The sequence below is a fragment of the Homo sapiens genome, chromosome 7, assembly GCF_000001405.40.
Source record: "Homo sapiens chromosome 7, GRCh38.p14 Primary Assembly".
In the NCBI taxonomy this organism is placed as follows: Eukaryota; Metazoa; Chordata; class Mammalia; order Primates; family Hominidae; genus Homo; species Homo sapiens.
The window spans coordinates 18756640-18782088 of record NC_000007.14 but is presented as its reverse complement, the minus strand read 5'-3'; the positions used below and the strand labels follow the sequence as shown (position 1 = coordinate 18782088).

At 37.1% G+C, this 25449-nt stretch overlaps 1 protein-coding gene across 6 annotated transcripts in view; it reads right to left on the bottom strand.

Annotated features, from left to right (window-relative positions):
* The window catches only part of HDAC9 (histone deacetylase 9), a 915592-nt gene that overhangs the window by 220328 nt on the left and 669815 nt on the right, over positions 1-25449 (bottom strand). For all 6 annotated transcript variants that reach the window (NM_001321868.2, NM_178425.4, NM_001321877.2 and 3 more), the window contains 2 exons: positions 19812-19932; positions 14934-14983 (listed from right to left, as the gene is read on the bottom strand). In NM_001321868.2, the coding sequence (NP_001308797.1) occupies positions 14934-14983; positions 19812-19932 (171 nt within the window). The remainder of the gene's footprint in view (positions 1-14933; positions 14984-19811; positions 19933-25449) is intronic.

Genomic DNA, 25449 nt, shown 5'->3' with positions numbered 1-25449 from the left:
AGCTTAAATAATGATCAGATGCCCCTGGAAACCTATTGACAGACACCAGACTCAACAAAGAAACAGAGGTTTTTCATTGCAGTATTGATTCTGTGCCATTTTAGCAGGTTGTATTAAAGCTAAACCGCAAAATAAAATAAAAATCATTTTAACTTTTGCACTGTGTCAGGTAAAGTGTATTTTTTAAATGAATCATCTACTGTGGACCAAATATTTCTGCAAACAGCATCTTGATTTGGTAACTTAAAAATTATCTACTTTCATCTTCTAATGCCAAATTTCTTTTTGTGTTTGCCTTGGGAAACAAAATAATTACCTTTTCCCACCTAAGTGGTATTTGATAAGCTCAACATTTTCCTATCCTTGATCCTTTACAATTAGGGCTAAAGCTGATGATTCCAGTAGATATTTTGTTTTTGGAAATGGTAAGAAAAGGGGTGTGAGTTGCGAGGTTCCAAGAAAAAGAAAAGCCTAATTTATTAGTAGATTCACAAGAAAAGGTAATAAAGTCAAATCTATTGCCCAAAGAAAGCAAAAAGTAAATATCTTTGGTCAGTATTTAAAGAACAGCATAGTGGGTAAGATTGGGGCACCTACTAGGTGCTGGACCCTATTAAGCACTTTACAAACACTACCTATTTAATTCCTCATGAGAGCTTTATAAAAGTATTATTAGTCACCTTTACAGAAGAGTAAACTGAACTGTAAAGAGGTTAAGTAACTTGACCAAAGTTATATAGTTGATGAGATGAAGAGCTGGGGTTTCAACCAAAGCCAACCCTGGACATTAATATCGTTATGGACTGAATTGTGTTTCCTCAGAATTCGCATATTGAAGTCCTAAGCCCAATGGGACTGTATTCAGCAATCAATAAGTCCTTTGAAAAGGTAATTAAGGTTAAATGAGATCATAAGGGTGGGGCCCTAATACAAAATGACTGATGTCCTTATAAGAAAAGAAAGAGACAGCAGGGATGCGCATGAACAGAGAAAAGCTTGTGAGGCCACAATGAGAAGAAGGTCATCCAAGGACCCAGGAGAGAAGCCTTAGGAGAAATCAAATCTGCCAACATTTTGATATTGAACTTCTAGGCTCCAGAACTGTGAGAAAATTAATTCCTGTTGCTTAAGCCACCCAATCTGTGGTATTGTGTTATGACAGCCCTAGCTAGCCAAATACAGATGTGAACTTTAAAAAGATATTCTGTGTTGTTGATTCTTTAGAACACAATGGGCTAGTGCAAGTGTCCTAGGCATAGGGTTATGGGTGTCTGTCTTTACTGCTCTTTCTTCAAGGTCTGACACATAATAGATGCTTAACAAATTTTGTCGAGGGAATGAATTAAGGATGAGAACCAAAGAATCCTATAGTGATACTGTTCTTTACAGGGCTTTACTGTGGCTAAACTATCTAAACTCCAAACACCACCCCTGTTTGGGCCCTGCAATACATCCATGATGTAGTGATGACTGCTTCTCTCATCTTCAGTCTGCACCAGGTATAGCCTACTAGCTCTTGCTTGCCAGCATTGGGTGCTTCCTTTGGTGCATCATCCTACAATGATGCTTCTTCACTGAATCATCCAACAACAACTGTGATGTCCCCAGTGCCCTGGATCTCTGTTGTCATGCATCACCCCTGTCTCTCACAGAAGCTTCCCCACTCACTATTTTCCCAAGGGAGACAGACTGTGTAAGACTTAAGTCAACAAGATCCCCAGTGACAAGCTAATGGGAGCCTGCTATCTGATCTCTCAAGAAAAATGAATTTTGTAAAAAGCTGTTTTAAATTTGGATAAAGTACTATCACACAGTAATGACATATTTGATCCCCAGAGAAGACAATAAATCACATTTCATTTATCACCTTACTTCATAGGTGAAGGAACTGAGGCCCAGTCATTTCAATGATTTGTGAGTCCATGGTCTTACAGGATCTTACCACTCAAAATGTGGTCCACGGATGAGTAGCAATGCCATCCCTGAGTGCTATGAGAAATGCAGAATCTCAGCTCGCATTTGGTCCTGCTGAATTGGAATCTGCACTTTAGAGTTGAAAAAGCGCTTTTGGAGCAGTGACAACGTAAAGATTTGAATCCAGATTCCGGAGTTCCTAAATGAAGGCTCTCTGCCTAGATGCCTAATCACTGGGATTTCTGAAAGCAATGTCCTCCCTCCCTTTATTTGTCTCCCTGCAGTGCCTTGATTCTAATGGTAGACTATTAGTTGGATAGGTAGGTCAGGTGGAGACCTCAGGGTTGCAGGGCTTTGGAGAACCTTTAAATCAGGGAGTCTGTTTACCCTCTGCAGACCTGAATCTACTCAAGGTGACCCCACAGGGTGGTGCAGTGCTCATTACCACATATAGCTGCCAGTGATAACCTACATTATCACATTTGATCCTCACAATAATACCATGTGGGAGCCTTGCTTAGCCCTATTTCATAGATAAAGAAACCAAGTCTCAGATAAGTGAAATAATAATTAACAGAGCCTTTGCATTGCTGGTTTCTCAGACTCAGGCTGGGCAGGATACTTCTAAAATAAAACTATTCCGAGCAGTTTTGTGGACGCTTAGGTGTCAACACTTCAAAACTTCTAGAGCCCTCTCTAATTCTGGGTGACTGTCCCTTTTCTCCTCCTGTGGGATAATAATGAGAATCATGATTCTGGTCTGAGAACCTCTGATATTCTTTATTGCATTCTTTTTCAATCAGCTCTGAGGCTGTAACAATGGGTGTTTTCCCTTCTCCCTTGTGATACAACATGCCAGCTCCTTGAATGTATATATTCATTTCGTGTTAGATGTTCTGCTGAAACCCTGAGAGTCTTGAAATGGAGCTGGGATGGATTTATGATAACAATGGGTGGGTGAACCCACATGCATTCTCTCTTTTGTTCAACATTGGAAGGAAGACATGAATGACAGCCCATTCCTTTGGGATCAGTTGTAGGTTATAATGCCCACACCTTAGCTTCTTTAGTCATGGTGAGATGAAAAAGAAACAGAGCAGCTACAGGGAAGACGTTCAGATTCCAAGTAAAGCCATGGATATGATGAATGAATACTGTGACTGATATTCCATATGGAAAGAAGGTGTGAAATATTAATGTGACAGCTGGAGGAGAAAAGGGGCATGCCATGTGCATTAATGCTCTACCACAAACCATCTCCCGGTATGATCAACTGCTTTCTGGCAGCTCCATTGACCTTGCATGTGCAATTTCTAGTCACTCTTTATCTTCAGAAAAATCTGCCTTTTGCTATTTACTTGCCAGTAACAAGAATAAGGAGAGGAATATGTTTGCTCTGGCGAAAGGGCTACATCTTGAGACTCTAAGGATCCTTACTTAAGATCCGGGGGACTCATAGATTTACCAAGTAATATATGGATTCCTGTGGGTTATGTGGCCAGTAAAGACCAGTAAAGGAATTTGAGAGTCCCTATTGTTATCCAATTTCAGTGAACTGCTGGTCAGTTCTACCAAGACTGAGTTAGAGACAGAGCCAAGAAATACCATTTTAGTACTTTCCTACTGTTTCTTCATTTAATCTGATGTCCACACTGTGTAAAGGGTGCTTCAAAATATGCCAATCTTTTTATTCACTGGACAGTGCACATTAGAGCCTCATTCCTACAGAGTGTAGCTTAATAAAATTAACTCTGACTCAGTAGGTGTGTGAAATGAGATTCTCTCTATCTCATCCCACAGTGGTTTGGTCCAAGGACAGAGACTTTTCAGTGTTCTAGTTAGGGTTGAAATACTATGTATAGCTGTGTAATTTTTTTTTTTACCCAGAATTGATGATGTTTGAGTGCATGGATTTAATACTTCATAGGAATTTCAATAAAAAAGAGAATGCTCTTGGCAAAAATAGCAATTGTTTTTTTCTTACGGCTAGGGCTATTCTCACTTGGGAAAGGAGTGTTGACAATCATATGAGGTTGAAATTATGGTGAGTTGTGCTGTGTGTGCATAGTATTGTGGTTAAAAGCTTGGGAATCAGGCCCTCTCTGCTCCATGGCCTACTAATTCTATGACCTGAACAAGATACTCACCTCTCTGAGCCTTTGTTTCCTTTTCTGTAGAATAGGAAACTTCAATTGCATCTTTAGCAATAAAACCTCTGGGATTATTTGGGATTTAAAAGAGATTGAGGCAGGTTATCATTGGAAGGTTTGTGTAAAGAATGGCTAGTCTCTGCTGTGAGGCTGTGAATCAGCCCTCTTGGTTCTGTGAGAATCAGGAGGGTATGTTTTGCAGGATTCTCTATTGCCCAGCCTAATCTAGGGCACCTTACCTGTCCCTTTACTTGATGGATAATCCCATCATTAAGGTCAATCCTCTGAATACCACTGGGGTCAAAGTCGAGAATTATTATTTTGCTAAAATGGTTAAAGCATAATCCTAAAAAATTTAGCCAAGTTTTTTTTCTTGATTCTATTCATTTAATATTGAGGATGCTGAGGATCAGAAACTGATTGTCAATAGTAAAAATACCCTGGAATTCAGACTTTTATCTCTCTTGCACTATATAAATACAACACGAAACTGGGCATATAGAAATTGAGACGTCATCATTATTTGGTCCATTCTATGCACCAACACAATGGGACCAACAAATCAGTTACCCCAAATCTCACAGTTCAGATATAAATCAGGATGGACCAGCCAGAGCAACTGAGGCCATAATGTGACAATGTCATTCAAGAAGACACTAAAATGCACAAGGAAAAAAACCAACCCACTTGCAAAGGTCATGCAAATGTCAGGACATTTTTATTAGACTTGAAAATGGGCAGGTGTTGGAGTACTGTATATAATTTGCAGCTGCCCAATTTAAAAAGAAAAGTATGTCCACATAACATTCCAGGGACTTGGAACCCCAAAGCACACAGTGCTGCTAAGATCTGGAACTACCCAGAGAGATATCTCACAGCCCAGGGCCTGCTACTGAGTCCCAGATCTTTGAGTGCCTGAGTAAGTGTGCCCCCACCCCCAACCTTCTCTATACCTCCATAGCCAGCTCTGAAGAGAAATGTCAGCATCTCAGCGTGTGCCTAGAAATTCAACTTGCCCTCTCATCATCTATTGCCACACCTCAATCCAGTTGTCAGAAGGAAGACCAGAAGCTCTGTGTGTTCTGAATAGAACAACCCTACCTCTAGACACACAGATCTTTAACAGTGAGAGTGAGATGGGGTCCCCAAACTCTGAGCAGTCTTGGCAAGCCTCCTCTCCACCTCCTGAACTTTCCTTGCTTCCCCACCACTCTGCTTTGCACCCTCAGTATGGATCTTATTATTCTCTGTACCCCTCTTTAAGTCAGTCACCACAAGAAACCAGGGCTCCCAGGTCACCCCTCACCTGTCTATCCTAATATCCAAAAAAGCAACACTTCTCATTAACCACTAGTTCTCTGCCCCAACACTACAAGACTCCACACCCCTTCCTTGCTTCCTTTTCTCTATAGCATTCATCATCATCACATACATGCACATATATTTAAAGTCATTCATTCTTGCTTATTTGTCTCCTCAACTGGAATATAAGTTCCAGTAGGATAAAACGTTTTCTGTTTTGTTCAGTACTGTATTTGCAGTTCCAGGCATACAATAGGCATTCAATAAGCATTTGCTGTATAAATAAATTACTAAATAAGTGAGCAAATGAATTCTGTCCCAAGTTGTGAAAATTGGAAATTGTGAGTATAGTAAGTTCAGAAGCACAGAGAATAGTCTGCACCAGTGAGCACTGGTCTTTGAACTTCTTCCACATTTGCTATTAATGGAGTTGTGGATTGATGCTGGATACTGCGCTTCCTAGCTCTTGGAATGAGAATTTGCCAGGCACAGTGGTTCAGGCCTCTAATCCTAGCAGTTTGGGAGGCCAAGGTGGCAGGATTGCTTGAGGCAGGGAGTTTGAGACTAGCCAGAGCAACGTAGTGAGACCACATCTCTACAAAATAAAAGAAAGAAAGCCAAATATGTGTGGTGGTGTGTACCTGTATTCCTACCTCCTAGCTCTTAACAAAGCTCAAGCAAGAGGATCTTTGGAGCCCAGGAGGTTGAGGCTTCAATGAGCTGTGATTGTGCCACTGTACTCCCACCTGAGCAACAGAGCAAGACCCTGTCTCAAACAAACAAACAAAAAATTGGATGCCCCCATCAAAGAAAGCTGAGACAAGAAGGCCATCTCGTAGAACTGTTTCATTAGACTACTGAATTTGAATCTGGTTCAACTGAGTATGGATATTCTGACTATCTTCTGTCCTTAGTCCTATGAACTCCCAGGCCTTTCCTACCAGAGTTGACAATTATGAATAGAAGAAAATCAATGCAGAGTCTAAGTGATAGGTATGACAAGATACATGAGTGGGAATTGAAAAGGAAAAAAAAAAACACAACATAAGAAAAAATGTGAGTCTACATGTTGCTTCACACTTAGCACATAGGATGGTATTGGACAGTACATGCTTATTTAATAATGAATGAATGGATGGTAAATTGTCTTTAGAGGCAATAGATTAAGGAAAGAAAAGTAATCTATTTAGCAGCAAAGAATTTCGCTACTTGTAGGTCTTGGTTTTTATTCCTTAAATGGTCACATCTCAAAATGATACAAGTCATTTTGAGAAGTGCTTACAGATCGTCAGGAAGATACTCGATACAGGCACACCTTGTTTTACTGTGCTTCACTTTATTACACTTTTCAGATACTTTGATTTTTTACAAATTGAAGGTTTGTGGCAACGCCAAGTTAAGCAAGTCTATGGGCGTCATTTTTCCAGCAGCATGTGCTCACTTCCTGTCTCTGTGTCACATTTTGGTAATTCCTGCAATATTTCAAAAGTTTTTCATCATTATTTTATCTTTTATGCCCATCTGTGATCAGTCATCTTTGATAGTACTATTATAATTGTTTTGGGGCACCATGAATCGTGCCCATATAAGACAGTGAACTTAATTGATAAATATCGTGTGTGACTTCTGCTCCACCGATCAGTCTTTCCTCCATCTCTTCTCTTTCTCAGGCCTCCCTATTCCCTAATATTCAGGAATATTGAAATTAGACAAGTTAATAACCCTACGATAGCCTCTAAGTCTTCAAGTAAAAGGAAGAGTTGCACGTCTCTCACTCTCAACACTCTCAATCAAAAGCTAGAAATGATTAAGCTTAGCGAAGAAGGCATGTTGAAAGCTGAGACAGGCCGAAAACTAGACCTGTTGTGCCCAACAGTTAGCCAAGTTGTGAATGCAAAGGAAAAGTTTTTAAAGGAAACTGAAACTGCTACTGCAGTGAACACACAAATGCTAAGAAAGTGAAATAGCCTTACTGCTGATATGGAGAAAGTTTGAGTGGTCTAGACAGAAGATCAACCCAACCACATTCCCTTGAGCCAACGCTTTATCCAGAATAAGGCCCTCAATATTGAAGCAAAACCCTGCACCAGCAAAAAGATTACCACTCACTGAAGGCTCAGATGATCATTAGGATTTTTAAACATAGTTTTAAAATTATGTACATTTTTAAAGATATAATGCTACTGTAAACTTAATAGACTACAGGACAGTATAAACATAAGTTTAGTATACACTGAGAAACAAAACATTTGTGTGACTCACTTTATTGTGCTATTTGCTTTACTGTGTTGCTCTGGAACTGAATCTGCAATATTTCCAAGGTATGTCTGTGTGTATCCATAGTAAATATCAATTAGAGATTATATAAATCATAATATTTAGAATATAACAGAATAAATTCACCAAATGATTTCAGGAGCATAAAAATATCGAATATATTAGTCCTTTAATAGTCTTATCAGTCTTCATAGAAATAATGACTCAATGCATGCTCTATTGCTAAGAGAATCATTGCTTAGTCATTTAATTCCTTTATTTTACTTATTATTTTTTATTTAAAGTTAAGACACTCTATAGCAATAATGATACTGCTAGTCTAAAACTCAGAAGCTATGGGTTTTTCTTGAGTTGGGGAATGATTAAATCCTAGGGATTCTGCTGTGAACTGCCTGCTTATGGCTCAAGCATTCAGTGAGCTAATTTATTTTGGTTTTGAATTTTGAAAAAAAAACTGTTGTTCTCCATTAATGAAAGTTTAGAAGTTATGCTTTACTAAGTTTGTGGTTAAAATACTTCACAAAGACAAATCCAATAATGACACATCAGTTTTACATATTGAATATTAGTTTGTTACGGGGGTGAATATCTGGATCTGGAACTAACTATTCGGAGTGGAAATATGACAGATGAAAAATACAAATGCTGTTACTTCACCTTAAAATGAAAAGCTTAGGTGTGCCTGAATATAGCTGTATTTCAGGCTGCTACAAGAATTATTTTTTTTTAGGTAGTACCATTTCCTTTGTCTACTCTAAATTTTCATTTGATTTAAGCCTAACGTCTCCTTGGCAGTCAGAAGTAGCAATCAGTAGATGATCATATTTTCAAATCTATTCAAGTATGTTTTACTTTCTCAGCTTTTATTTAATCGAGCCACAGATCTTCTAAGTTAGATAGAAATTTAAATTTCATCAAATCCATTTACCTTCAGCAACTGCAGAGCCTAAGGCTGAATTTCTTCTTGTCTCAATGTTCATAATCGTTTTCTTCCTCCCTGTTATTGACATTACTTTGGTGGAAATAGGTGCTTTTGTGTGTGTGTGTGTGTGTGTGTGTGTGTGTGTGTGTGTGTGTGTGTATACAGTTTTTTAAAAAAATAGGTCTTATGGCCCCAGTAATGTAAAAAACACAAATAAAGCTTTGATGATGGCATTTTTTTAGCCATCTCATTTTGGCAACAGAAGAATTTTAACAGCTTTGTGATATTCATGTTTACTTTAAATAAGAAAATGAAGTATTCTTATTTCAAAATGCATCTCGTTGTACTTAGCCATAATGTCAAAGCAATAGAAAGAATTTAATCACAGATGAGATGCTGCAAGTAAGTGAATTAAGGAGGAAATTAAGGTTTTCTTCTCTCATTTTCTTCTTTCCTGCAATGGACATTAGATGCTTAATGATTCTATGTATTTTCACATTTTGTCCCATACACAGAGTAATGTATACATGTGTATCTCTGTAGGGAGTGTTGTCTACATCCCAACAACTATTATTGAGTATACACAATTAGCATAATCTATGCAATACTGGAAACTTCCTTTGCAATTTAGAAGGAATTCCCTGACTTTAATAATATTTCATGCATTTTTTCGAAGTCTGAGGCAACATAATCTTTTTACAGAATTTGCAGCATGAAACTAAATTCTCAGTTTCATTAAGGTGGCTTATCAGTTTTAATTTTGCCAGGTGCCATGGGGTGTTCTTGCTAGTATCAATTGCATCAAGTCTGAAGCTGATGAAAATCCAGATACAGTTAGGAAGAGGAGATATAAAAAAGAGAGATTCTAAATCAGGGTGGATCCTTTTATTGTGCTGGAGGGAAAAAGTTTGTGATACCTCTTTGATAGCAACAGTGGAGGAAATGAAGTACTGATTGCAAGCCAGGTTTGAGTTGAACATTAATAGGAGGGAAATTAACATTACCCTGATTACTGCATGTGAGAAGCAGATGCTACCCCCTCCTCTTTCTGCTGATGTAACAAAAGGCATTGTGCTTGCTCAGGATAATTGGGTTGAAATAACATATGAAGAAAGAGGTTCCTGAGTCAATATCAAAACCTCAGGAACATGCAAAGTTTTGGCATAAACAGAAGGTGGGGTTTTTCCCTCCTTTTTTGGAAGAAAAAAATTCTCTACTAATTGGCAACAGCTTGGTGCAATTGTCAGAAATACGGTGTGTTCTATTGCCTGAACAGTCAATGCCTGGCTGCCTCCCATGACCTGTCCTCATACCACCCCCAACACACAACTCACACATTTATTGCTAATTCTTCTTGAAAATTTAGCTTATAACTGCTTGAGTAACCTCCACACCCTATTCTTTCTTTGCTGTTTTAAAAGCTTCCTTCTCTGTGCTCTCATAGCTTAGCATTTTTCTGAACCAGCCCAATGGCTAGGCTGTGAGCAATTGAGATTGAGAGCAGTGGTCTTGTCTCATTGCTCATTCGTTTTTGCATGCTGCACCTTGTCTAGTCATCAACAACAAGCCTTATCTTATTCTTCCTGCCCTTCATGCCTTATCTGATGGCACACATTATGGCTTTGAAAATATTGGTTTTGTTTCAAAGATGACCATCCTAAATCACAGCAGTAAAATGCATTATTAACCAAGCTTTTGTCGCATTGAGTTTAACTATATGTCCATAGATGTGGTCATAAAACAAAATCCATTCCCTAGTATTATAATGGAGGGAAACACCAGAGCAGCTCTTTGTAGGGCTTGCCACTAGAATACTATTTACTGGTACTGGGGAGAATAAATGTGAAGGACCAATGTGGTGTAATAATTAGAAAAATAATATGAAGATACACATGTGGTGTAAAATAGATTTTTCTCCTGATTATGTATGTGTATATACAATGTTTCTTGTATATATAAACACACACACACACACACACACACACATATCTGTAAATTTATAAATAAGAGGGGAGAGCTTACATTTTAATTCTGACAAGATAAAAGAAAATTTAAGACATTTCATCCAAATCTGCCTCTCGCGTAGTGAGTATAGTTGATATACAACTGAAACGTTTGCAGAAAACCTCAGAGCAATTGAAATGGGCCTTAAATTACTACCCTCTCATAATCACCTAATCCTTCTCCCCATCTCCCCTTCCCCAATCACAAAAATGACATTCCTAAGTGTGTCAGATCTAGGTGTAACCAAACAGAATATGAACAGAGTAAAAGTCGTAATAAAAAGCTAGCTTTGTGTTCACAGATTGACTGAGTCACTGCTGGAGAAGGTGCCTTCATTAAACCTTTTAGAGCCTCTTTTTGCATATCTTCAACCACTTAGTCAGGTCCCAGTTCTGCCCGTGCCCTGCAAATCCTCAGTCCTCTTAGGGGATTGTTCTCCCTCGTCCACAGCTCCTCCTCTTCCAATCAAGGGTCTGACACTACCCATTGACCACGTTTATTTTTCTGCCTTTTGGCCCTGGGAGCTTGTCTGCTGTAGGATAAAAGTGGAATTCTCTGCTGTCTGCAGGGCTTTCCCCAGGGAACAGAGCATGAAACCCAAACTTATATAAAATCATATCCTGTTTGCAAACATCATATTCCCTTTGCTTCTCACTGATCTGGTCCTGTAAACCCCAGCACAGCTTGAGAGCCCATTCCTCATCTAAACAAATGCCATAAGCCCCTTTATACTTTTACAACCATGTCAAAAAATAATATTGCCTGCCAATAGTGATGTGATTGGAGTTGCCTCCTCTGAGCCATAAAAGAAGCGCAGAGTCTGTTATCAATTTCTCTAAGTGTATCAGGGGAATTATGGGTCGATTCAGTTCCAAGTTATAAATGACAACTCAAAAGCCGCAGAAGCGTTTGAAGCTGGGAGCTGATGACGACATTATCATAAAAGCCTGCTCGTCCTTGCTTTTGTGGGTTTTTCTGTGGCCTATCAAGTGAAGAGGGGAAAATGAGGCTGAGAAATGACTTCAAGATTTCTTCACACAGCAGCAGGTCAGATGGCCAGGAAAATGATCACTATTTTTAGTGATATACCCTGAGGAGTGAGAACTGAAGAGATCCTGCACTGGCTCTTGTTTCCAGAGTCCCTTAATTATCTATTTTACTACACCATGACCAAGTCCTGGGATTTGGTCAAATGTTCTTTTCAACTGGTGCATTTTCTTGTAGTGCAATCACACAGGAATCAGAAATGAGTCAGCCATAATAACTGAACAAAAAGAAAAGCAAACACAAAGGAATTCAGAAACCTTGACATTGTTGCTCGAAATGCAGTTCTGGAGAGTACATTTCACAGCACCTTAAATACCATTTATCCACTGAGCTGCTTGACCAACAGTAAATTACCATGTGCAATTTTAGGGGAAATTTTAATGAGAAGTAGAGATGTTCTGATTTCATAATGTCCCAGGTAGGGTCCTCAAAAGCCAATTAACCCATCCGTATTCTGTAGGTATATATCAAACCCCTCTAGAATGAAGTTATATATTCTAAGGAACTGGCGTTTACTTTAACAATTGGGGATCACTGAGTATTTCAGAATGGAAACCAACAGGTCCCTCTTAAGTAATTTGAGACAGAACCATGCCTTAAGACAAAAGTCATTTCGGTAATTTCCAAAATCTCTAGGGTGCTCCCATGCTGCCAAGTTGGGGCCTTCCGGGATCATACTGGGGATCTTGTGTATAGCTAATCTGTCTGGGATTGTCCTGGAGGTGAAAATTTAGACAGGCTTAAATCAAGAGGATCCAGGGTTTCTCCTAGGGCTTGTACCAAAACCAAAAATCTGAGAGGGCAAGAAGACTTTTGAAAGGCTGAGAAAACTATTTCATTCCTGTAAACAAAAATACTGAGTCAAACTAGTTCACAAGAGCATCAGCAAGTGCAAACTTGCACACACACACACACACATTCACACCCACCCTGACCTACATAAGCATCACATCTCTCCAACCTTCTCCAGCACTGATGGAGTCAAACTAACAATGCAGGGCTCCTTCTCCTGCCTCTGCTGGCCTACCCCAGACTTATCCACCACCACTGCTGCCACCATCCAGGTGAGGTCAGCTCTAGGGACATTACTAAGGACTTACTCTATGACCCACACTGTGCATTATGTTTGATATACTGGTCCAGAGGAAGCAGCCAATATTCACTCCTTGGTCATTTTGAAGAGTTTACTAAAGCAGTTCTAGGTGAGAAATAAGAAGTCAATTTGGGTTTAGAGCAGTTGAGTAGAGGAACTTCGCATTGAAGGGATAGTGAATTAAAAGCACGTCCCAGGTCAGATTTGGGAGGTGAGTCCTAGGGAGATGGCCTCAATTCAGTCCTGAGTCATACATTAAATATACAGATGCTCTTTGACTTATGAAGGAGTCCCGATAAACCCACTGTAGTTTGAAAATGTCCTTAGTCAAAAAAGAATTTAATACACCTAACTTACCAAACATCATGGCTTAGCCTAGCCTACCTTATTCATGCCAAACATTTATGTTAGCCTACAGTTTGGCAAAAGCATCTAACACAAAGCCTATTTTATAATAAAGTTTAAACATCTCATGTAGTTTATTGAATACTGTATTGAAAGTGAAAAATAGAATGGCTGTATATTCAAAGTATGGTTTCTACTGAATGTATAACACTTTTGCACCATCATAAAATCAAAAAATCATAAATTGAACCATCATAACTCAGGGATCATCTATATTTCTAAAGAGTGGGGTTTGATGACTGCCACCCTTTTAATAGCTTTGATTTCCTCCACATCACTGTTCCCATTAAGTAGTCATTAGGTTTGTTTCATTTTTTTGCCCCATTTACAGGTAGGCAGCCATTCTCATAAAACAGCCATTTGAGATGTTAGAAAATAAGCACAAAGCCAATGAAACCCATTTTAAAAGTCAGCTTATCCTCTGCTTTCCAGAATGATTTTGCAAGCTCCCAGCTCCACAGGAGGTTGGCTAAAAATAAGCAAGGATTAATGTGGGATTGATGACTGTCCCATGCTGGTGGTCAAAAAGCAAAAGTCACTGGTGAGCTGTCACAAAGGGGTTATACCACATCAGCCACACTGCTGCGCTGCTTACCCAGAGGGAGTGGGGGGAAGCTGAGACTAGATTGTTAAAGATGAAAGCCATGAAAGTGTCTAGAAAGCTCTTTTGGAACTCCTCGACAAGGATGTGTACATCACCCCCATACTTTCAGCTTTTTATCCTTTACTGTGTGACTTCAGGAAAATAACTTAGCTTCTCCCAGCCTTCACTTTCTCATTTGCAAAATGGTGTTAATGACTATTTCACAAGGTTGTTTTGGAACTTGTTTGTCGGCAAACTGTAAGTCCTCACGGAGGCAAATGGATATAGCTACCATTCTGTTTTCCAGAGTAAGCAGAATCACAAGCAAAGGAACAAAAGGCTACAACTCACTAAATCTGGCATCATCAAAATGATAGAATAAACTAAAAATATTCAAGATTTCTTTGCATCAAATTTAGTTCTCACAAAACAATTGTTTAAAACGTGATATACATGTGACTAGTTTTGTTCTTTCCCTTCAAGATCGAGTCAATTTAATTGACTTAAATACCTTAGTCTTTGAAAACTTCACCTAGAATTATGTTGTTCTAACATAACACTTAGTTCTACAGGATGATGGTTTGTTACTGGTAAGGGTTAACTTTAAATAGATTTCAGGTTATAGGATATGTTCTAATCATCTACAAAAATGTAGACATTTTTCTTCATGTGTTGCTGGGTTCTAACAAATTTGTCCTTGAAATGTGGTCTAAATATGTTGAGTCAAAAGGCTTCCTTAATTATTGAAGACAAAAATGTCCCCAAGGGGTTCACAAACAAAATGTCCCATAATGCAAAGCACTTTGTGAAGTTTATGCCATTTTCACCAGGAATATAATGTATGTGCGTACTCAATGTGATTCTATTGAAAATGGAATTCTGCTGCAAATCTGTGTTAAACTCTCTTGAAGCACCTTTTCTCCAGCTATATAAAGGCCTAGCAAAGCTGGCTTCATGAGTGTGTGACCTGTGCAGTCACACGGGAACTTACAGTTAGAAGGGCCTTGCTCTTGGTTTAATTCTGTATTGCCACCATCTTGAAATTCTTAAGAATTTATTTTTAACAAGGGCTGCCACGTTTTTACTTGGCACTTAGCTCTGCAAATTAAGTAGGCAGTCCTGAAGTCTAGCATAACTTTTACTGAGAAATAACCCTAAAACTGAATAGATAAATCAAAAAAGATTTTTTTTTGTAATTTTATGTTATTTAAAGGCAGTAAACCAACTTGTACTTACCCCAAGTCCACCACAAGGTAATGAGGAAAAAAACTTTTGAGAGTCATCACCTATACAGTAAGAAGACATAAAAAATATAGATAAATGGAGGTTATATAATTTTTAAAATGTTGGCATTTATTAACACATAATAATATGTCACATGGTATTTATCGTTTGATGCAAAAATAAATTAATAAAACTTCAGACCAATTATTCAACACAATTTTCAGAATATCATTGTTCTGCCTATCTGTATACACAAATAAGAACTAAAAGCAAATCAATATAAATTTTATTGCATGTAGAGTCTATTGCCCCACATGAATAAACACATGCTCATGAGATTTGGGTCACAAGATTTTTTTCTAAGTTGGTCTCCATGTCTATATTATACATTACAATTTTTAAAATTTAACCAATTCAGCTCTTCACTGAGTATATTCATTCAATGGGATGTTTTGAGCTACAAGGTTTATGCCACCATATACTGTCATTTAAAAAATATTTCAAATATTAACATATCTTCTCAAATGTACAGACTTATTCTTAATTTCTACTTAAGACATAACTAAGTATAGCTGGTTATAAGTAGCTATATCAACTTTAAGATAGAGCTAAAGCCAAGTACACCATAGGCCACTTCTAACATCCACAATTTTTTAAACAGTACACTATGAAAAATAATCCCATTTGGGGATCTATATAACATCAATATCAATATAAAATATCTTCTTTAAAAATATATTCCCAAAACTGAATTGTGAGTATCTCTTAGAACTGGTGTTTCATGGGATTTTTAGTAATTATTTTGTTTACCTGTACTTTTATTTTCTACGTTATCTACTACATGAATAGAGAAAAACAGTAGTAACTGCTCCTACATCTTTAACATTAAAATCTGTCTGTGGAGTAATCATGGGGAAGGGCAGTGAACATTTCTATTTCATAGTCAAATGGTTCTGAAGGGACTCTGACATGTCACTCAGCAGTTCAGTGGTAGAACCAGGTACAAATTTCCAATTCACCTATCCCATTAATTTGTTCTATTGATGCTCAATGAAATGAGAAATTAAAATTGAAAACAGGTTTATAGTAGAATTCATACACCACGTCAGTAAAAGTCTAAATAGCTTTTATTGTCACAGAAGACAGTTTGTTTTGAAAACAATAAATCATATTAGTTGGTTTTTTAAATGTAATTACTAAAAGATGGAAGATGATAAAGAAAAATATATGTACAAATGAAGCCATCTAGTTATAAAGAGAGATCTTCATTTTAACAAAAAGATGAGAAGTCAATAGAATTACAAATAAAAATCATAAAATAATATTAAAACTGCAATATTGGCACCAGTAAAAGGCACATCAAAATTTTGGGGGAGGAGTAAAGTTTTCTTATGTTGTTGTTCCTAACAAAAATATAACTGTATCCTTGAATATTTTGCAAGAGTATATTCATATATCACCTGTGAAATTAAAATATATATGTACATTTTAGTGTCTGAATTCTTAATAGTCAAGAAACAGGAATGAAGATAATATGATAACATAGTAAGTTAATTTTTTTTTGAGATGGAGTCTCACTCTGTTGCTTAGGCTAGAGTGCAGTGGTGCAATCTCGGCTCACTGCAGCCTCCACCGATTCTTCTGCCTCAGCCTCCCGTCAGTTGGGACTACAGGTGCGCATCACCATGCCTGGCTAATTTTTGTATTTTTAGTAGAGACGGGGTTTCACCATGTTTGCCAGCCTGGTCTCCATCTCCTGACCTCGTGATCCTCCTGTCTCGGCCTCCCAAAGTGCTGGGAATACAGGCATGAGCCGCTGTGCCCAGCCAATAAATTAATTTTTAAGAGTAATTGAAAAAAATTATTAACCCCCAAGAGAATTAGCAAAATAAGTATCCTACTTGGGAGAGTTTTATTTAATACTATTATTTAATACCTACTTAGGAGAATGTTTACATAATACAAAACAGGCATATAATTGATACTTTAAATTTAGAAATGGGCAAGAAACTTTTATTTCACCAAACTGACTGGATTTATTTTTAATTATGTTGTCTTATCAATGCACTGAAATTTGGCTAGCCTCAAGACGACTGGAAACTGGTCATAAGAGCGACAGGAATATTAATGCTAAGGAAAGCCTTGCACCAGAAATAATTGGAGAGAATGTCTTCTCCATGTAACCTTACAGGGTCTAGAGTATTTAAAGAGATAAATGATGTTCATTTTCAAATCCAATTATTTTATCATCTATAGATGTCTTTCAAGATACAAAGACTGACAGGTCTCATCATACTGAACTTTTATTTAAACCCTTCCTCCTAACTCTAGAACACAACTATCAAGGGAAATAGCATTAATTTAACTCAGAAAAGACATCTCCCATATGTGTTGGGAGGAACTGGGGGATGTAGTAAGATATATGGAAGTGAAAGGAATGGATAAAAAGAGAGAAAACATCTTGACGATTATGAATTTCTATACATTCACATATGGCAGCTTCAATCCGGTCTTCCAGATACAAACAAACAAACAAACAACAACAACAATAAAAAAAGCCAGAAGAATGCAAATGCCACAAAGAGCAAAAAAAGTATTAAAAGTTAACCTTTAAAAAGAACAGAATTATTCACTTTGAACTGAGATTGAGAAAAATTAGCTAAACTTTTGGATACACTAGGGAAAGAGAAGTAGTTTTGAAGTGTTGATACAGTTGACTTTAGTGCTCGACCTTAAGGCCTGATAGAATGCAACATCCCTGTTTCTGTGTACTTACGTAGCCCACACACAATATTGAAATTGTTGCAATGATCACTGAGAAGTGTATATGAAACTCCACACATGTATAGAATGCTAACTCTAAGATTATCAACTGTAGGAATATTATTTCACATCATATGTTCAAAATTAATGAGATAAATGGCTAATTTATTTAGATTAAAATTTTAAACATTGAATCATAGGTACTTGCTGCTTTCATCACATACATACATGAAAAGAACCTTTGTCCAAGTTAAAATTATAAATGGAATTTCATTTTAAAATCATCAAATTTAAAAATGATATGCACATCAAATATTTTACAAAAAATAGGTTTGTTCAAAAGAGTCAAATTTTTTAAAAAAACATCGCCATGTTTTATGAATAAAAGTTTGATGTTGCAAAAGTTTAAACTTCATTTATCTTATAAATATGCCTTTCTCTTAAAATGTGGAACAATGGTTGTTTTGGAGCACTTCTCAAATATCAAATGTGTGTTTATATTCACAATTTGATCAATCCCAGCCTGTTCCAATAAAGTTGGAAGGTTGATTTATACTTTAGGACCAGAGATTTTTAAAAAGTGGGGGGAGGTTTTCTACTTGTTTTTTCTTAACTCAATTAAAAAATAATGACATGGACACAGTCTCCTATGTTTAAATGCTTGAGTATTATGACCTCATAAAATCATGACAATTAAAATGTCTGGTTTACTTCATCTTGTTGGTTAGTTGGGTAGGGTTATTGATTCATGTTAAAATAAGAACATTTATTATACAATATTTGCAGCAAAAGAGGTATTTTATGTAAAGTATCTGCATGTACAGAGACTGGTTTCTAAAATAGAAAGGAAAAAATGAGCATATATGTTTAGATTGATTTATTTGTATTCATATTAATATACAATGTTAATTCGATAGTATACATTATTTTTTATCATCAAATATTAGCAATGTACTTTCTAAAAATTGGATAATCTTTATGTATTCCCCTCTGGTCTTACTTCTCCCCAAGCTACTGCTACCTATACTGCTACACGCATGTGTGGGCATATTTATGCTCACTCATATGCCTGCACTTCATAAATTTAAGAGATGCTTGCCACTTGTTTAAAAAGGTATATTGTGTTATAATGAGTAACTGTTAATTCTTCCTTACAATTGCTTTCCAAGATACCTACCTACTGTATGTTATCTACTTGCTTTCAAATTGTTTAGGACCAGTTAATATAAAACAATTTTGAAATAATATTGAATTAGGTGAAAGAGTTCAATAACTTAGAGCTGACACAATACATTTATTTGAAGGAAAAACTCCTAAAATGTCTTTTTTAGTTAAAACATTTAAAACATGACCCCATCAGCATCTATTGCCAATGTTAGATATTGTTATTCACTTATAAAAAGTTAATAAAACAATATTATCATTTCAGCTAAAATAAGGATTGTCACTAATTTTTCTTCCAGAAACCTGTTGTTTCTATCACTCATATAAAGCTTATATAAAGTTCTGCAATATAAATTTTATTTTAAAATCTGACGATAAAGTTTCAAAAAATCATACATTAACAAAAAACTGTTTATTAGTTTTCTAGTTTTGCATTTAATGTATTATTTAATTCCAAAGGTAAGGCAATAAATAGATTTGCAATCTTGCTATAGAATGTAGTGTGATGGGCATAGTAATAATGAGTTTTCACTTAATACAAGTTGTACTATTTCCTTTGTTTCTTAAGGTCATAGAACAAAGAACTAAAAGATACAAAAAAATGGGAACGGTGAAGAGAAATTTGCATAAAGCATGTGTAAATCATTTCTACTTTAAGTTTGAAAACACAATAAATTCAGCAATGTAGTTTTTTCTATATGCAAAAACACATTGTACAAATGTTATTCAAATGAAGGTTAATTCTAAAGTAAACACCATGGAACCTACATTGTCATTTTCTAATGCAGGATTTTCTTAATCTACAATGGCTTCTGTTGCAAATGACTCACTCCACAGAGCAAAGCTGTTGGAAAAACTGATTTTTTGTTGCACTACTTGCCAAGTATTTTGAACTGACACCAGCGTTGACTAATGATAGTGCTGGAATGTGCTGTTCCCAGTACAGTGGAGGCCCGTACAGACCTAGGAGTATCCTGGGGTCCAGCTTCTGTCCGTCCAGGGGGTTGGTGCCATACAACAGTGAGTGATGTTCAGAATGAACAAGCTGTATTTCCTCCAGGCTGGCTTTTCGACCTTGAATTCGCTGCAAGAAAATAGCAGAAGCCAACAGTACACCACTGACAACATTTAGAAGAAAATGAGACCCCAAGTCACATTTAAGATGATTAATAATGGGCTGAATTTCATCATGTAGGAATGTGACACTGATTTGCTTAGTAAAGTACCATAATAATATTTGAAAAATGAGTGTATGGAAGGTTCAGATCCAACAGATTGCTTATACCTAAATGGGCAACTGACATAAAGTATATTCTTATTTGGCATGGAAGAGAAAGCTATAACACAGAAATTAATAGTTAACTCTTTTGTAAAGTATCAGCTTAAAAACCAACAGGGCTACTATTTAGCTGATAATTAAATTTATTACAATCTTATTTTACACTTACCCAAAGAAGTTGTTAGAACACACTCTTTATTCCTTCTTGAAGGACATAAATAAATACCATTTCATTTTAATGAACTTGATGATCACAGATACGCTAATGACTTCCCATGTGTGCACCTCACAGTAGTATTAGTTAAAACCAATGTTCCTCAAACTGTGTCCCATGGGATCAATAACACGTCAATATCTGTTTATTAATGGTCTGTAGTGAGGTCAGTACAGAAATTCAGATCAATATTTAGAAACTTTTATGGCAATTTGACAGTATTTTTATGTCTTTTGAATCTACTATAATCTTACCTCTCTTCAATATTTATTTCACTTTTGCCGTATTTCATTTTTAACATTTTTTATGCGTATTAGTCTCTGACAGATTGGAAATTAAACAAAAACAAAACCTGCTGTTTAATCAGACACTGTTTGAGACACTCTAGACTCCATCAATTTTTTCCAAAAAGGCTAGGCAGAGACTTTCACTCCAGCTAACAAATTACAGCCCTTCAACACAGGCAAAACTGTTCATTAGGTCAAACCTCAATTATCCAGTATGCAAAGTGTTCTTTCTGGCTACATTCCTCAGCTGGCACATCTGTGAGCCTGATAAATATTGTGCTGGTGCACGAAGTTAATTAGCCTTAACTTTTGGAAATGGCTGTGCTTTCTAGTATTACAGAGACAGTGTTAATATTTCACTTAAAAATATATATAACCACAAGGCAGCTGTAAGTTAATATTGAAGTACAGAACAACAGTGAAATTCAAGGAGAATCTGTTCAGGGAATGCTGTCCTTTCATGTTCCTGACCAAGGAACCACCAGGTAACCCGGAAACATCAGGTGACAACACCTCTCTCAGGACGAGGACAATTCCACATTCAGCCTCCCTAGTTTAAGGTGATGCAGCTGCTGCCAGACTCTTCAATGTTAATGTGTGGTTCACTGAAGGGGCAGGCCAGGACAACTTCAATATCTGACAATTTCTCAGCATTTACTGGGCCGGAGGCCGAGCTGTGCTTGTCACTGAAAATAAATGATCAGGTCACAGTGAGGGAGGATTGGTGGGGGTCTGCAGGGGTAACAGGAAGGGAGTGATTAAAGCAAAATCTCATTAACACTGCCTTGACGTGCTGAACAAACTCATGAATACTTATGGAACTTTCTTTGTATATCATTGAAGTTCTCTGTTTTTGATGCTATCATTCAGCATTGTCTAACCCAATTCAAATTACTATAAAAATAAAAGTATGATTTAGAGAAATTATTCCAGGTGGGTAAGATCAGAATTCTGATGCTGAAGACTAAGAAAAATTTAATGATGGCCTTCTGGTCAGCCATCTTTCTGATTGATTAGAAAACATCTTGAACCAAGTAGCTTGCTGGGAAACATTCAATATCGGAAAGTTTATGGGAGACCAGAACAACCAAAGAGTAGGATGGCATGTAAAGAGACTAAATAAGCATGAGAAAATTCGAAGGCAACATTAAAGGGAAACGTTTTAACTGTGAGATTTCAGGGGGTGGAGAATCCCTCAAGATAAATAATGGTAAGTCCATGGTTTGAGTCATCTAAAATTGGACTGAGCAGGGCATTGGAAAACAGAATGTGGCAACCAATTCTGGCAGAATAATGAACACTATGAAATAAGAGGGCTTCGAGCTCCTCCTTCTATGGGTCTTTGAAATCCATAGCCACTAACATCGTATATGCTGATACAGTGAAACATCAGTATTTTCAACAATGTCAGCTCTGCAGCTAATGATCAGACCCATGTTTTGATGACTATCATAAACTTTCATTGATTTTTTCCTCCTTTCTTCATGTCTATAAAGATTCGTTTCATCTATAAATTAAATTTTTACTTCCGGTATAACATTAAATACCATTAAGTATATCTTGATGTGTTCATACACTAGTCATGTAAATTTGCATACCATGCACTCTATGCTTGTCCAACACCTTTGCTTATTCACCCACAATCCCACTGATTCTAGCTGAATGCTCAATCACACATTTAAACACTCATCTGCTAACGAGATTCACTGTAATTGACAGTAGCTGAAGTGCTAGTAAGTCATAAGAACAGCGGTTTCCAATCTTTTTGGCACCAGAGACCAGTTTCGTGGAAGACAAAAAAAGTGGAGGAGATGGCTTCAGGATGATTCAAGCACATTACATTTACTGTGCACTTTATTTCTATTATTATTACATTTTAATATGTAATGAAATAATTATACAACTCACCATAATGTAGAATCAGTGGGAGCCCTAAGCTTGCTTTCCTGCAACTAGATGGTCCCCTCTGGGGGTGATAGGAGACAGTGACAGATCGTCAGACATTTGATCCTCATAAGGAGCGCTCAACCTAGATCCCTCACATGCGCAGTTCACAATAGGGTTAGCGCTCCTCTGGGAATCTAATGTCGCTGCTGTTCTCAGACGGTAATGCAAGCAACAGGGAGCAGCTGAAAATACAGATGAAGCTTCACTCACTCACCTGCCACTCACCTCCTGCTGTGCAGCCTGGTTCCTTACAGGCCATGGACCAGTAGTGGTCCGTGGCCCAGGGTTTGGGGACCCCTGATAAGAAGAAACCTGCTGAATCGGTCATCCCCTTGTGTAAGATCAGTCAACTAACAGTAAAGACAGCTCATTTGGCCCAGCTATCTAGCATTGACTTAATCTAACAGTTTTCTCCGCTAGTTATACTCTAGGCCCCATCCTTGCCATTAAAATGTACCACTATTCCTAAGTTTTCACTTTGATTTATCTTTTTCTCCTTCTCCTTATTCTTTCTTTTGACTCTAAGCAACTATTTTACACTGGCTCTTATTATTATTATTAAAAGTATTTTTAAAAAATAATTTCACTAAATATAAGGAAGTACTTATTCTTGGCAATCACCTTCTGCTTCTTTGGTTGCTAGAGAACAGCCCACAAACATAGTGCACATGTTTCTACAGAAAGAGAGCAGTGAAAACTAATTCAGTACCAAAAAAAAAAAAAAATGTTTCTACCTGTAGACAGGATCTGGAAAAAGCATGTTTTGAAATTTGTATCTCACAGAGACACTGCTAGGAGAATTTGGTGGATGATTAAGCTGAAAATTCTGAAAGAGCAACAGCTTTCTTTATTCCTTAACACATAGGATCTCCTGGAGTAATTCCGTTTTGCCTCACTTGTATAAATGCCTTAAATTTGTCACATTCAACTTTTCCTTTCATATTGAGATCTTCACCAGTTCCCATTTTCTGGTATTGCCATCAGTAATTTAGTATTTTATTTGTGTAGGCTTAAATATAGATATTCCCACGTAATCACTTCTCATATTTTCAACTTTCTGCGCACCCTTTATTCTTTCATTTCTCTCTCTCAAGGCTCTCTTGAGTTAAAGGTCAATAGCATAAAGAGTCAAAAAATAGGCTAAAGTTTTCTGATAATCTTAATTTAGGGAGTACTGATTTCTATTCTCAGAGATACTTGGTCCGAAGGATATCTACGTAAAGTTATCTATGATAGCCTGCCCAAAAAGATTTTTAAGAATTCTGAGCATATTGGGGCACACAATGCAAATAAGGAATGGATTTCATCTGGGGATTTCTCACCTGGAGTCAATACGGGTCTTAAATGCCTTACCAACACAGGCCTAGGAATGAAACCTCATAGCTTTTGTCACCTTCTTAATAAAGAAATTTGTGATGTAGGACTGTGTTCATTGTTACCTTATCGTTCCCTGTGACGTGCACTTAGTTTCTTCCCTGAGAGTCTGAAAAGGAGCTATGCTCACTGAGCACTTACTCTGTGGTTAGGAATATGATCATGTTTAGTTCAGAACCCTAAACAGTCTATATTCAGGTTGGGAGTTTGACTAAAGTTATTTAAAATGACCATATCATTGAGTCTCACAACACACCATGGTTCTTTCTTAAAGAAATAGTCTTTCTGAAAGAGAGCCCGTTAATGCATCCCGATTATAGAAGAAATGTTCTGAACATGATCTACAAAGTCATACTGTGACAGGATAAAATGCAGCCTACCCACACCCACCCACACACAGAGCACACACACGATATAGATTCATATTTTTTTCTGCCAAGGAGCAGGGAAAAAAGGAAACAGTTCTATTCCTTTCCCTCCTGTGTTCAAAGCCTGGATTGAGGCCAGTGTCCTAATCAGTTCTCATTGGCCCTGGAGGAATCAGAACCTTTTGTAAAATATAATAAAGGGCAAAAAATCATGATAAAATGCATGAAAAAGCAGTGCCTTTGGTTAGGGAACTAGAAATAATTTAGCAGAACAGATGGGTTGCATTGGTTTGGTATTATTGTGGACATGAAAGGGCTCATTTTGTGGCAGTTCCAAACTAAGAGAAAATGTCCAACTTAAATTTGACAAGTCAGAGTACCTGCCTCCACTGGGGAAAACTCCATTTTCTTTAATCATTTTCAAAGTGGTGACATACCAGGCAAGAATTTCCACTGAAATATCCCATTTTCTGAAAATATTTCATCCATTGTCTCTAAATAAAGGGATGTGGTTTCATTTATTTTCTCCAAAAATCCAGGGCTGAAGAAATTCAAAGGTTAAAAAAATGAAGAAAATAAAGAATCATAAATGACTTCTTAGTGTCAAAGTTACACTCTGCCACAAATACCATACTTAATATTTAATGAGTCAATTCATGGTCTTATTGATTTTTTTATCTATCTGTCTTTCTTAAAAAAAAACATAAAAATATGATCTCATTGCTTATGCCTAAGCACAACTACTGGAGTTTTAAAATGCTCCAACCAACTGCTTCTTAAAATGTTACGTAAGAAATGGTTTTTAACTGCCCCTGCAACTGCACAATCTTCCACACAACCCTCCTCGTGTAATAACCTGTACTTCTCAGAGTTTTTCTCATAAAAAAAAAAAAAGGTTGGGGAGTGAAAGAAGGAAGGAGGCAATCAAGCAGGCAGGTGGCCTAACAGGCTTTTGGTCCTTTCTGTGGGTCACATGGAAAAAAAGAGAATTGCAAGTTGGGAGCCTTGACTTCTGGTCCTGACTCCCACGTGTCCTTAATGTGCCTATAGTCAGCCATGAGATATCTCTATGGGCCTTTGTTTCTTCATCTATGAACATAAAGATGTTTGACTAAATTATGTCAAAGCTCAT